This window comes from Homo sapiens, chromosome 9 (assembly GCF_000001405.40).
Source record: "Homo sapiens chromosome 9, GRCh38.p14 Primary Assembly".
Classification (NCBI taxonomy): Eukaryota; Metazoa; Chordata; class Mammalia; order Primates; family Hominidae; genus Homo; species Homo sapiens.
Window position 1 is genome coordinate 73,217,574 of NC_000009.12, and position 15,580 is coordinate 73,233,153.

At 38.8% G+C, this 15,580-nt stretch overlaps 2 annotated features.

Moving 5' to 3' along the window:
• Positions 2,353–2,492: an enhancer, noted in NCBI's record as "active region_28465". NCBI's record gives its function as "activates an Ori minimal core promoter by ATAC-STARR-seq in GM12878 lymphoblastoid cells {active_cell/tissue: GM12878}" and the evidence as "EXISTENCE:reporter gene assay evidence [ECO:0000049][PMID:35858748]".
• Positions 2,563–2,832: an enhancer, noted in NCBI's record as "active region_28466". NCBI's record gives its function as "activates an Ori minimal core promoter by ATAC-STARR-seq in GM12878 lymphoblastoid cells {active_cell/tissue: GM12878}" and the evidence as "EXISTENCE:reporter gene assay evidence [ECO:0000049][PMID:35858748]".

The window sequence follows — 15,580 nt, forward strand, 5'->3', positions numbered from 1 at the left end:
TGAATCTGAAAAATAGGATTTCTTTTCAGAGACTAGGTCTTAGAATAAAGTAAATGATTCGTAAATAAAATTATATATCCAAATGTTTTATTCCTTCACTGTGTCTCCCTCAGAATTTCTATGTTGAAATCCTAATCCCCAGTACCTCAGAATGTGACCTTATTTGGAAAAAGTCCCATTGTAGGTATAATTAGTTAAATTAAGATGAAGTCTGATGTGGTGTGGCTGTGTCGCTGCCTGAATCTCATCTTGAATTTCCATGTGTTGTGGGAGGGATATGGTGGGAGGTGATTGAATCATGGGGGCAGGACTTTCCTGTGCTGTTCTTGTGATGGTTAAAAAGTCTCATGAGATCTGATTTTTTTTTTTTTTTTTTGACGGAGTCTCGCTCTGTCACCCAGGCTGGAGTGCAGTGGCGTGATCTCGGCTCACTGCAAGCTCCGTCTCCTGGGTTCACACCATTTTCCTGCCTCAGCCTCCTGAGTAGCTGGGACTACAGGTGCCCACCACCATGCCCGGCTAATTTTTTGTATTTTTAGTAGAGACAGGGTTTTGCTGTGTTGGCCAGGATGGTCTCAATGTCCTGACCTCGTGATCTGCCTGCTTCAGCCTCCAAAGTGCTAGGATTACAGGCATGAGCCACAATGCTTGGCCGATCTGATGGTTTTAAAAAGGGGAGTTTCCCTGCACAAGCTTTCTTCTCTTGTCTGCTGCCATGTGAAACATGCCATTCACCTTCCACCATGATTGTGAGGCCTCCCCGGCCACATGGAATTGTAAGTCCAATAAACCTCTTTCTTTTGTAAATGGCCCAGTCTCAGGTACGTGTTTATCAGCAGTGTGAAAACAGACTAATAGAGTAAACTGGTACCACTAGAGTGGGACACTGCTGAAAAGATACCTGCAAATGTGGAAGTGACTTTAGAACTGGGTAAGAAGCAGAGGCTGGAACAGTTTGGAGGGCTCAAAAGAAGACAGGAAAATGTGAGAAAGTTTGGAACTCCCTAGAGACTCGTTGAATGGCTTAGATAAAAATGCTGATAATGATATGGACAATGAAATCCAGGCTGGGGTGGTCTCAGATGGAGATGAAAAACTTGTTGGGAACTGGTGCAAAGTTGACTCCTGTTATGTTTTAGCAAAGACACTAGCAGCATTTTGCCCCTGCCCTAGAGATTTGTGAAACTCTGAACTTGAGAGAGATGATTTACAATATCTGGCAGAAGAAATTTCTAAGCAGCAAAGCATTCAAGAGGTGAATTGGGGGCTGTTAAAGGCATTCAGTTTAAGGGAAATAGAGCATAAAGGTTTGGGAAATTTGCAGCATGACAATGCCATAGAAAATAAAACCCATTTTCTGAGGAGAAATTCAAGCTAGCTGCAGAAATTTGTGTAAGTAACAAGGGGCTGAATGTTAATTCCCAGGACAATGGGGAAAATGTCTCCAGGGCATATCAGAGACCTTTGCAGCAGTCCCTTTCATCACAGGCCTGGAGGTTTAGGATGAGAAAATGGTTTCATGGGCCAGGCCCAGGGTCCCTCTGCTGTGTGCAGTCTAGGGACTTGGTGCCCTGCCTCCCAGCCTCTCCAGTGATGACTAGAAGAGGCCAAGGGACAGCTTGGGCTGTTGCTTCAGAGGGTAGAAGCCCCAAGCCTTGGCAGCTGCCACATGGTGTGGAGCCTGCAGGTGCACAGAAGTCAAGAATTGAGGTTTGGGAGCCTCTGCAAAGATTTCAGAAGATGTATGGAAATGCCTGGATGTTCAGGCAGAAGTTTGTTGCAGGGGCAGGGCTCTCATGGAGAACCTCTTCTTGGGCAGTGTGGAAGGGACATGTGGGGTTGGAGCCCCCACAGAGTCCCTACTGGGACACTGCTTAGTGGAGCTGAGAGTAGACAGCCACAATCCTCCAGACCCCAGAATGGTAGATCCACCAACGGCTTGCACCGTGTGACTGGAAAAGCTGCAGACACTCAACACCAGCCAGTGAAAGCAGTCAGGAAGAAGGCTGTATCCTGCAATGCCACAGGGGTGGAGCTGCCCAAGACCATGGGAACCTACCTCTTGCATCAGCATGACACGAGTTTGATACATGGAGTCAAAGAAAATCATTTTGGATCTTTAAGATTTGACTACTCTGCTGGATTTTGGACTTGCATGGGGCTTGTATCCCCTTTGTTTTGGCCAATTTCTCCCATTGGAATGTCTGTATTTACCCAATGCCTGTACCCCCATTGTATCTAGAAAGTAACTAACTTGCTTTTTATGTTACAGGCTCATAGGCAGAAGGGACTTGTCTCAGATGAAATGTTGGACTGTGGACTTTTGAGTTAATGCTGAAATGGGTTAAAACTTTGGGGGACTGTTGGGAAGGCATGATTCATTTTGAAATGTGAGGACATGAGATTAGGGAGGGGCCAGAGGCAGAATGATGTGGATTGGGTATGTCCCACCCAAATCTCATCTTGAATGCCCATGTGTTGCAGGAGGGACCTGGTGGGAGGTGATTGAATCATGGGGGTGAGTCATTCTCATGCTGTTCTTGTGATGGTTAATAAGTCTCACAAGATCTGATGATTTTAAAAAGGGGAGTTTCCCTGCACAAGCTCTCTTCCCTTGTCTGCCACTATGTGAAATGTTCCTTTCACCTTCTGCCAGGATGGTGGGGCCTCCCAACCCATGAGGAACTGTAAGTCCAATAAGCCTCTTTCTTTTGTAAATGGCTCAGTCTTCATTATGTCTTTTTCAGTAGCATGAAAACAGACTAATACAAAATCACAGTAGACTAGGGTGGGCCTCTAATCCAATATGACTGGTGTCCTTGCGAAAGAGAGAATTTGTACACAAAGAGAGACACTCAGATAGGGAGAAAGCCCAGTGGGGATTAGTCATACTGCCACAAGCCAAGAAACTTGCAGAAGTTAGAAGACTACTGGAACTTCCCTAGCACTTCTTAAAGAGAACATGGCCTTTTGAACACATTACTCAGACATTTGCCTCTAGCACTGCAAAACAATACATTGCTGTTGCTTAAGCCAGTCAGTTTGTGGTACTTCATTATGTCAGCCCTAGGACACTAATACAGTATTGTTCTTTGAGTTAGTTCTTTTGTTATATTAAAAAGTCAAAATAACATAGTGAGAAGTTTGCAATAATAACTACAAATTAGGAAAGTTCCTTTTCCATACTTGTGTATCCTCTCTGAAGTACAGCTGAGAAACAGAGATGAGATAAGAATTTGAACCTACAAACTTAAGAATAAATCAAGGTGATAACACTGAATGCCTTGAGAGGATTTAGATTGATAATTTATCTTCAGCAGAAGCAAAATGATAAAAGCATTCAAGGTTGGTCCATTAATTTTGAAAGCAAAATCCCCCATCAAAGTTTATAAATACTTCCAGAATTCCTGAAGGTTCTAATCTCCATTTATGCTGCAGAGGTAGCTATAAGGTAAGTTAAATCTCAAGCAGCCAGATCCCTATTGATTATGTATCAGCAGAGGCTAGAAGATTTTATTTCTTCTCCCAAGTGGATTGTGAGAGCTTCATTCTGACAACATACCCGTGAACATCTAAATGAATCAAGCTTTTTAAAAAGTTGACAATACAAAAAAAGAGATGCAATTCAACATCTAAGGGTCTGAGAACACATCTTTGAAAATGAAATACAGCAAAAACCTAGGCCACCAACATCCTCCATTATGCAAGGCAACAATGCAAGCAACTACAGGGTCTTAAGAGAAGATAATAGGAAATGAAATAGAGCAAAGTAGAGGAAAATGTAGAAATTTAATGAACAACATTAAAAAACATTGTTATGTGGGGAAATCTGACATTTCTAGATTTTAACTACAGGACCAAATTGACCTTGAAACATGTATGCATAAGATCAATGCAATAATAATGCCTTCAATCTTAAATGTGCCAGTTGCTTTTCTAAGCACATAATATATTATATTATATATAATCATATATAATATATTATATATTATATAATATTTACATACACCTTTTTAGTTGGGTTATCTTATTATTTCATTTTACAGATAAGTAACCTGAAGCTTAAAGAAGTATTATTTTTAGGATGAAACAGCTAACTGGCTGGAGGCTAGAGTTGATCCAAAGTATGACTCCAAAACCAACGATCTGTACTATAGCTGTGTTTACAGAATTTCATTTTCAAAGTTAGACATTTTCAATGTAACAACAACAATAAGGAACATATTTAGTGTTGGTAATAATTTCCTTAGCCCAACCAATTAATTAGTATAAGATTTGTGTTCCTACAAATTTACATTGTTTTACCTAAAATCACCTCAGAGTCAAAGACTTAATCTCTACTTGACACAGTTTGGAGAACATCTGTCTTAACATTATTATCCATTACCGTTTAAGAATCAAGAATTTCTTCAATCCATAGGCATTATTGATAAGGAAGAGTGTTTTTAAAAGTATCTTCTGTGATGCTGTATCTACAGGCTTGCATGCCTCCTTGGAAGGAAGGAAAATAATGTCTGGAAATCGAATGCCACAATTTGGCATTCAATTATATGTACATCTGATGAAGTTTTATTTTTTGGTTGCCAAAAATTAAGTGGTCTCCCTGGGGGAAGTACTGCCAAGTTAAATACTTGTCTTTTTTTTTGTTTTGTTTTCCTTGGTATTATTAGACATGGGTGTTATAACCAATCTGTTTCAACAATGCTTAGAGAAAACCATTTTTGCTAAGATCCCTCCTTCTAATGGACTGTACAGAGCATTGCTTATTCTAAGAAGGGAAAAAAATATCCCCTTAAAACAAAAGAGAAGCTGATGTTGGCATTTTGAATGGATTCTTTGATTTCAAAAATTGTGCCCTCTCAAAATGCTCTCAAAAACAAGTAGCAATTAAAGCATGTGTGAAATCCAAACATATGCATGGAGACCATTAGCAAGTTAATTAAAAAGTCAAATGTTTTCCATACTTTGCCCATTTATGAATTATTTTTAAGATGTTTGGCCAGGCGCGGTGGCTCATGCCTGTAATCCCAGCACTTTGGGAGGCCAAGGCAGGCAGATCATAAGGTCAGGAGTTTGAGACCAGCCTGACCAACATGGTAAAACCCCGTCTCTACTAAGAATACAAAAAAAAAAAAAAATAGCCAGGTGTGGTGGTGCACACCTGTAATCCAGGCTACTCAGGAGGCTGAGGCAAGAGAATCCCTTGAACCCAGCAGACAGAGGTTGCAGTGAGCCTAGATTGTGCCACTGCACTCCAGCCTGGGTGACACAGCAAGACTTTGTCTCAAAAAAAATTTTTATTTTTTACTATAATTGTATACTACAAATACTATTGGTTACAGTGTATTTTCTTTAGATTAATTACTTTTTTCTTAAACATTTTAAGAAATACTATCTTTGAAATTCACAAATTTTTATATACAAGTTACAGACATGAAATGAAATATATTGCTATTAAAATAAAACAGCATTTAACTCTGTGCAACTTAATGTGATCTGCTTCACAGTCTCAACATACTCACTATGTGAGAAATGTGTGGGCTTAAAGCTGCCAACAAGATGATAGCTAGCCTCTTCATCCCACAAAGTTCCCCACTCCAAACTACAACCTCAGTTGAAAAATAAGTTAAAATAAAATCTGTTCCAGAATGCAGATCTTTCAAATACCTGTTCAGTTAATAATATTTCTAATCACAGTGAATCTCATGCAGTGTCTGAAGTTTTTTTTAAACTCCCAAGGAGGCTCATCCCTGGATTCTCCCTTTGCTTATCTGAATATCCTATCACCCCCATTCCTACTTTCTCTCTAAGAGTCCCTTCTGGCGGGTGAGTCCTGCAGGAAAAATCAAAAAAGGACAAATTCTGTCTTTACTCACCAAAACCAACTTCTCCCAAATGGCTAACACTGTCCCATATCGATGCTGGCTCTGCAGCTGAAATATGGAAATATTTTTGCTTGGTTGAAACCACACCCTGGATCACTCCTGCTTGCGGGGCACGGAGAAGGCACCCACACCTGCACCTCCCAGTTTCTTGCCCTAAGCCAACACCACCTCCAGCCTGACCACCCACACAGTCACCATCAGCCCCCAACCCCACTCCCTTTCAGCTGCATTGACTCTATTACTGTGGTGAACACCTGCAGGAAGGTAGGTACTCCAGCACCTGCTAGCAGTCTACTGCAGCTGCCGCTATCACTGCTGCTGGCATGCACAAATGAGGACGGATCCCACTTACCACATCACAGAACCTTTTGGCTGACACCACCTATGGGAGTGTGATGAGAAGCAGTCTGTGAGAACCTCAGCATCCCCAGTGCAGTAGATTCCTGACCTCCAGGAGACAGAGAACAAAGTTGCAGCCCAGTACAAGTCTCCCATATTTAAAGCACACAGTCCAGGAGTTAGGAGCTGAGTGTTGGCTCCCTAAAATCTTCTAGAAATGAAGCCAGTCAGCTGAATCCACCTTATACCAGAATCAAACACTCAAGGTTATCAAATAGGATAAGAGAAAAAAAAATCCAAACACCAGCAACCTAAAAAATTGAAGGAAGATAAGCCCAAAACGATGAGAAAGAATCAGTGCAAGAACCCTGAGAACTTAAAAAGCCAGAGTGCCTTCTTTCTTCCAAATGACTGCATCACCTCTATAGCAAGGGTTCTGACTGGGTTGAGATGGCTGAAATTACAGAAATAGAATTCAGAATATGGATAGTAACAAAGATCCTTGAGCTATAGGAGAACATTAAAACCCTATACAAGGAAGCTACAAATCATGATAAAACAATGCAGGAGCTGACAGAAAAAAATACTCAGTATAGAAAAAATACCATAAACCAACCTGATAGAGCTGAAAAACACACTATAAGAATTTTACAATGCAAATTGCAAGTATTAAAAGAAAAATATACCAAGTGAAGAATAGACTCTCAGAGCTTGAAGACTGGCTTTCTGAAATAAGACAGGCAGACAAGAATACAGAAAAACAGAATGAAAAAAGAATGAACAAAAACTTCAAGAAATATGGAATTATGTAAAGAGACCAAATCTATGACTCACTGGTGTCCCTGAAAGAGATGGGGAGAATGGAACCAACTTGGAAAATGTACTTCAAGATATTGTCCATGAGAACTTTCACAACCTAGCAAGACAGGCCAACATTCAAATTCAGGAAAGGCGGAAAACCCCAGTATAATATTGCAAAAGAAGATCATCCTCAAGACACATAATTATCAGATTCTCCAATGTTGAAATGAAATAAAAAATGTTAAATGCAGCTAGAGAGAAAGGTCAGGTCACCTACAAAGGGAAGCCCATCAGACTAATAGCAGACCTCTTAGCAGAAACCCTACAAGCCAGAAGAAATTGGAGGCCAATATTCAACATTCCTAAAGAAAAGAAATTCCAACCAATAATTTCATATCCGGCCAAACTAAGCTTCATAAGCAAAGGAGAAATAAGATCTTTTTCAGAGAAGCAAATGCTAAAGGAATTTATGACTACCTGACTAGCCTTACAAGAGCTCCTGAAGGAAACACTAAATATGGAACAGAAAGACTATTAACAACCAGTACAAAAACACACTGAAGTACACAGACCAGTGACACTATAAAGCAAACACATAAATAAGTCTGAAAAAGAGCCAGCTAACATCATGCTGATAAGATCAAATCCACACATATCAATACTAACCTTGAATGTAAATGGGCTCAATGTCCCAATTGAAAAGCAGAGAGTGGCAAGCTGCATAAAGAACCAAGATCTATTGAAAGGCTGTATTCCAGAGACCCATCTCAAATGCAATGGCACATATTGGCTTAAAATAAAGGAATGGGGAAAAATCTACCAAGCAAATTGAAAACAGAAAAAAGAGGGATTGCAATCCTAGTTTCAGACAAAACACACTTTAAATAAACAAAGATAAAAAAAGACAAAGAATGGACATTACGTAATTGAAAAGGGTTTAATTCCACAAGAATACCTAACTATCCTAAACATACATGCACCCAATACAGGAGCACCCAGTTTCATAAGGAAAGTTCTTAGAGACCTTCAAAGAGATTCAGACTCCTACACAATAATAGTGGGAGACTTTATCACCTCACTGACAATATTAGACTGATAATCAAGTCAGAAACTTAACAAAGATATTCAGGACCTAAACTCAACACAGGGTCAAATGGACTTGACAGACATCTAGAGAACTCTCCACTCAAAGAGAACAGAATATAAATTCTCATTGCCACATGGTATATACTCTGAAATCAATCACATAACCAAAAGTAAACACTTTTCAGCAAATAAAATAGAACTACAATCATAAAAAAACAGTCTCTTAGACCACAGTGCAACCAAATTAGAAATCAAGATGATGGGCGCGGTGGCTCACACCTGTAATCCAAGCACTTTGGGAGGCTGAGGTGGGTGGGTCATGAGGTCAGGAGATTGAGACCATCCTGCTTAACATGGTGAAACCCTATCTCTACTAAAAATACAAAAAATTAGCCAGGCGTGGTGGCGGGCGCCTGTAGTCCCAGCTACTTGGGAAGCTGAGGCAGGAGAATGGCGTGAACCTGGGAGGCGGAGCTTGCAGTGAGCCGAGATCATGCCACTGCCCTCCAGCCTGGGCAAGAGAGCAAGAAGACTCTGTCTCAAAAAAAAAAAAAAAAAAAAAAAAAAAAGAAATCAAGACCAAGAAATACACTTAAAACCATACAATTATATAGAAATTGAATAACCTATTCCTTAATGACTTTTGGGTAAATAATGAAATTAAGGCAGAAATCAAACTAATGAGAACAAAGATACAACACACTAGAATCTCTGAGACACAGCTAAGGCAGTGTTAGGAGGGAAATTTATAGCACTAAATGCCCACATCAAAAAGTTAGAAAGATCTTAATTTAAAAACCTAACATCAGCCGGGTGCGGTGGCTGATGCCTGTAATCCCAGCACTTTGGGAAGCCAAGGCGAGCGGATCACAAGGTCAGGAGATCAAGACCATCCTGGCTAACACGGTGAAACCTCGTCTCTACTAAAAATACAAAAAATTAGCCAGGCATGGTGGCGGGCACCTGTAGTCCCAGCTACTCAGGAGGCTGAGGCAGGAGAATGGCGTGAACCCAGGAGGCGGAGCTTGCAGTGAGTGGAGATCGAGCCACTGCACTCCAGCCTGGGTGACAGAGCGAGACTCCATCTCAAAATAAATAAATAAATAAATTAAATAAATAAATAAATAAATATAAAATAAAAAAAAACCCTAACATCACAAATGAAAGAACTAGAGAACCAAGAACAAACCAATCCCAAAGCTAGCAGAAGACAAGAAATAACTAAAATCAGAGTTGAACTGAAGGAGATTGAGACACAAAAAAACCATTCAAAAGCTCAACTAATCCAGGAGCTTTTTTTTTTTTGAAAAAATTAATAAAATAGATAGACTTCTAGCTAGATTAATAAAGGAGAAAAGAGAGAGGATTCAAATAAACAATCAGAAATGACAAGTGGGATATTAACACCTACCCTACAGAAATACAAACAACCATCAGAGAATATTATGATCACTTCTATCACATAAACTAAAAAACATAGAAGAAATGGATAAATTACTGGACACACACACCTTCCCAAGACTGAATTAGGAAGAAATTGAATCTCTAAACAGATCAATAATGAGTTCTGAAATTTGAATCAATAATAAATAGCCTACCAACAAAAAAAATCCAAGACCAGACAGATTCACAGCTGAATTCTACCAGATATACAAAGAAGAGCTCGCACCAGTCTTGCTGAAACTATTCGAAAAAATTGAGGAGGAGAGACTCCTCCCTAACTCATTCTATGAGGCCAGCATCATCCTAACACCAAAACCTGGCAGAGACCCAACAAAAAGAGAAAACTTCAGGCCAATATCCTTGATAAACATCAATACAAAAATCTTCAACAAAATACTGGCAAACCAAATCCAGCAGCACATCAAAAAGTGTATCTGCCACAATCGAGTAGGCTTTATTCCTGGAATGCAAGATTGGTTCAACATACACAAATCAATAAATGTGATAAATCACATAAGCAGAACTAAAGACAAAAACCATGATTACCTTAATAGATGCAGAAAAAGCTTTGATAAAATTAAACGCCCCTTCAAGTTAAAAACTCTCAATAAACTAGGTGTTGAAGGAACAATACCTCAAAATAATAAGAGTCATCTATGACAAACCCACAGGCAACATCACACTGAATGGGTAAAAACTGGAAGCATTCCCCTTCAAAAGTGGCACAAGACAAGAATGCCTTCTCTTACCACTCCTATTCAACATAGGATTGAAAGTCCTGGCCAGCTCAATCAGGCAAGAGAAAGAAATAAACAGCATCTAACTAGGAAGAGAGGAAGTCAGATTATTCCTGTTTGCAGAGAACATGATTCTATATCTAGAAATCCCCATAGTCTCTGCCCCAAAGCTCCTTAAACTGATAACTTCAGAAAGTCCATGTGTAAAAATCACTAATATTCCTATACGCCACCAACAGTCGAGACAAGAATCAAATCAGAAATGCAAACCCTTTCACAATTGCCACTAATAAAATAAAACACCTATGCACACAGCTACCAGTGAAGTAAAAGATCTCTGAAAGCAGAACTATGAAACACTTCTCAAAGAAATCAGAGATAACACAAATAAATGGAAAAATATTCCATGCTCATGGATAGGAAAATTCAATATTATTAAAATGGCTACACAGCCAAAAGCAATTTATAGATTTGATAGGGTTTGGTTGCGGCCCCACCCAAATCTCACCTTGAATTGTAGCTCCCATAATTCCTACATGTTGTGGGAGGGATCCAGTGGGAGATAATTGAATCATGGGGGAAGTTTCCCCCATACTGTTCTCATGGTAGTTAATAAGTTTCAGGAGATATGATGGTTTTATAAGGGGAAACCTCTTTTGCTTGGTTCTCATTCTCTCTTGCCACCGCCATGTAAGAAGCGCCTTTCATCTTCCACCATGATTGTGAGGCCTTCCAGCCACATGGAACTGTGAGTCCGTTAAACCTCTTTTTCTTTACAAATTACCCAGTCTTGGGTATGTCTTTATCAGCACTGTAAAGATGGACTAATACAAGATTCAGTGCTATTCCTATTAAACTACCATTGCAATTCTTTAAAGAACTGGAAAAAACTATTTTAATATTCATGTGGTACCAAAAAAGAGCCCAAACAGCCAAGGAAAACCTAAGCAAAAAGAACAAAGCTGGAGGCATTGTGCTACCTGACTTCAAACCACTATGTGGTTACAGTAACAAAAACAGCATGCTACTGATACAAAAACAGACACCCAGACAATAGAATACAATAGGAAACCCAGAAATAATTCTGCACACCTACAGCTGTTTGATTTTCAACAAACCTGATGAAACAAGCTTATATGGTTTGGTTGTGTCCCCAAGTGGTCTTCAAAAGTCCATGGAAAATGTGTATTATGAAAAAAACTATGCATGAGTTTCAAAAATTTTTTGCACCAAACTAAGCTCATGCTGTTATACCATGTCCGAACATAATCTAGTTTGAGGCACTAAGCACTATAAGGCATCAATTTGAAAAAGGCTGCTATCAGAACAACATGAATTCTGCTAATACTGAAGCAAGAACAAACATGAAATTCATGGTGAAGGTTGTGTGGAAGAATGGTGACTTCATTAATGCTTTATGAAAAGTTTATGAGGACAACGTCCCAAAGAAATGGGCAGTTTACAAATGGAGAACTCACTTTAAGATGGGCTGAGACAGTGTTGAAGATGAAGCCTGCAGCAGCAGACCATCTACATTAATTTGTGAGGAAAAAATTCATCTTTTTCGATGCCCTAATTGAAGAGGACCAGTGAGTAACAGCAGAAACAATAGCCAATACCATATACATCTTAAACGGTTCAGCTTACACAATTCTGACTAAAAAATTAATTAAAGTTGAGCAAACTTTCTCCTCAATGGGTGCCAAAACTGTTGTGCCCACATCAGCTACAGACAAAAGCAGAGCTTTCAATGGATATTTTAAATAAGTAAAATAAAGATCCTGAAGTATTTCTTTGAAGAAACATAACAGGAGATGAAACATGGCTTAACCAGTATAATCCTGAAGACAAGGCACAGTCAAAGCAATAGCTACCAAGAGGTGGAAGTGGCCTAGTCAAAGCAAAAGCAGACCTGTCAAGAGCAAAGGTCATGGCAACCGTTTTTTGGGATGTTCAAGGCATTTTGCCTTTTGACTTTCTGAAGGGCCAAAGAATGGTAACATCTGCTTGTTATGAGAGTGTTTTGGAAAGGTTAGCCAAAACTTTAGCAGAAAAATGCCCGAGAAACCTTAACCACAGAGTTCTTCTCCACTACAGCAATGCTCCAGCTCATTCTTTTCATCAAATGAGGGAAATTTTGTGAGCGTTTTGAAGGGAAATCATTAGCCATCCACCTTACAATCCTGACATAGCTCCTTCTGACTTCTTTTTGTTTTTTTTTTAATCCTAAAAAGTCTTAAAAATGTGCCCATTTTTCTGCAGTAAATAATGTAAAAAAAGACTGTGTTGACATAATTAAATTCCCAGGACATTCAGTTCTTTAGAGACAAACTAAATGGCTGGTATCATTACTTAACAAAAGTGTCTTGAGTTTGATAGAGCTTATGTTGAGATGTAAAGTATCTATTTTTATTTTTATCTTTAAATCCGATTTTCCATAATCTTTTTGAGTCCTTTTGTACAATGCAATGATCAGATAACAGTCTGAGTCAGAAGCAAGTAGACCACAACTCTTTGCCCACTTTTTCTGCAGTTGGGCAATTGCCTTGCCTTCCATCTGATGCCAACAACAGCAGAAGCCTGAACAAGTGGAAATGAAGCCACGATAAGGAAGAAACCACCTACACTATGTCAAGATCCTTGCCACCTGCCTCCTATGCTTGACTCAGGACCTTGCAGCTAGGCTTGTACCTCCCACACAGAAAATTGGAAGATTTCTCTGCAGGAAGCTGACCATCCCACCAAATGGGTGCTTAGAATGAAATTGCTCAGTCAGATCCCATACAATGAAGTTCACAAGGTGACAAATCAAGTCTGAGAAAACAGAGAATTTAATTATGCTTTCCAGAGCCTCAAGTTTATACATAAGCAGGCAGTTAAGTATAGGCAGGTATTTGTAGGAGACCTCTAACATAAAAGACTGAGACCAAACAGACAGTCAAACAAGCAAACAGATAAAATGAATTTCCAGAAAAAACACAAATGCAAGCAAGAAAATAAAATATTGAAACATTAAAAACATTACAATTAATATTCTCAGAGAATAAGATAGTGTATTCTTGAAATAACATAGAATGCTATTTTTAGAGAAGGAACATTTAGAATCAATAAATGTGCAGTTGGAACTTTAAAAAAAATAAAAAGAAATCCATAGCAAGGCTGGAAAATAAGTTGGAGATATCAGCCAGAAAATAGTATCCCTTGTTAATAGGGAAAAAAGAGAAGATAAAAGAGAGAAAAGATAAGAAAATTTTATCATTATGACTCTAAAAAGAATGTTACACGACTCTAAAATTGAGTGCTAAAGGATCAGGTAATAGGATTGGGGTCTGTGAAAGGAGAGGGTCCAGTTGAAAGTTTAGATACTGTAGCCACAGCTGGTCCTACTGACAAGGTGGCTTTTGGATAAAGGCATGAAGTGAAGTGAAGAGGCTCACACCTGTGATACCTGGGGATGGCAATCCCAACAGAGGCAATGACAAATAGAAAGGAAGTAGGCTTCCTATGTTTAAGAAACAGCAAGTAGGTCATTGTGGCTGGAGTGGAGTCAAAGAGAAACTGGAGGTAAAGATGGCAGATTCTGGTTGGTTTTATATAGAACTGTTATGGGTCAGGCTTGATTGATTTTTTTCTTCCATTAAGATCAGTTTTTTTTTTCTCATGAATGTCCTCAGTCATTCTTCAAGTAGAATTCTGTAAGTAGACTCTGCTCAAATAATATATTGAGTATCTTCAGTTATGGAATAAATGTAATATAGTTTTCTACTACTATGAATTTTCCTTAAAGGTATTTCTTTAGAGATTCTCTTCCCTAGTAGTGTCTTGAAAACATTTGATTTTTATTTGCTTTCTCTCTTGAATCATGGTTTTCCCGGAATTATTCTAGTTTTTAACAGCTAAAAACTAATAAGAAATTGCAACTAACTGGCAGCCTACTGGCATATTTTTTCCAGTTGGTAGAATTGTGGCTAGTGCTAAAACAAAGAAGCAAGCGATTCTCAACATATGAAGTTAGCTGATTTCATACATGACCTTTGGATTTCTGGCTTCCGTTGAATAATGGGGCTCTCTGGCAACACTGGGCTTACATTCCCACTGGTCAGTTGGTTGGAATTATATCACATGGCTGCTTTTTGTTCTGAGAATACCCCTCTCACTTTTCCTGCTGCCTCAAACTCCTGAAATGTTTTACTCATTTATATTACCTCTATTCTCTCTTGAAGGTATTTAAGTTTTCCAACTCTGTTCTAGATGAACAGGGTAGATTAAAATATGAATCTCTGAAAGGTAGGTTAAAATATGAATCTCTCACTTAATAAACTGGTACATTCTATGGCTGTCCCACTCCCAGGGAAATGTAGAGGGACAGCTTGAATTATTTTGAGTGGCAGGTCCCTTTGTTGGAACAGAAATTATCCGGGGGGAAACAACCTCCTTTAGTGTTGGCATCAGGCTACTTTGGATCTGGTGTACTGCTCCTTATCTCACTAACACCAATTCATTCAATTTGAGGAATATAAAAAAAGAAATTTCTCAAAGTATTCTTAGTCTGTCTGATTTCATGTTCTCATCAGACAAGTTTATGCCCGATGAGGAATATGAATACTATTATTTAGATAGATCATTAAAAATGTCTTTGAACTCATACAATTTCTATTTATTATGTCAAATGGCATTTCACTAACATACTATAAAACATTGGCAGGCTATTGGTCAGGGTAATGTCAGGCTATATTGCAGCAACACATACACCTTATAATTGCAAGTGCTTAACCCAACAAAGTCTTTTTTTTCCCCCTCGAAAATTCTCATGATGGTTGGGGGGATTCTCCAAGGCTGTTATCTTCTTCCTAGCTTTTCAAGGAATCCCATCTTCTTACAAGTAGTGATGCTTTCAGCTCAACAAGTATCTTCTAGAGTAGTTGCAGCAAGGGATGAGAAATTTAGAAAATTCAAAGTAAGATTACCAGAAAAAACAGGAGGCCCAGTCAAATTTGAATTTCAGATTAACCAGGAATAATTTTTACTATAATTATGTCCCAAATATTGCATGGCACATGCTTGCTTATACTAAGAATATTTGTTGTTTATCTAAAATTCAAATATAGCTGTTGTCTAGTATTTTTATTTGCTAAATCTGGCAATCCTAAATCAAACCTGATTTTGGGTATCTCAGCCTAAAGATGACATACCTCTTTACTGCTCACAGCCCTTTGGAAAGAACTGGTCAGGTAGTCTTAACCTGAATCTGAAGGAGGCCAGGAAATTTAGAGAAACACATAGATTATT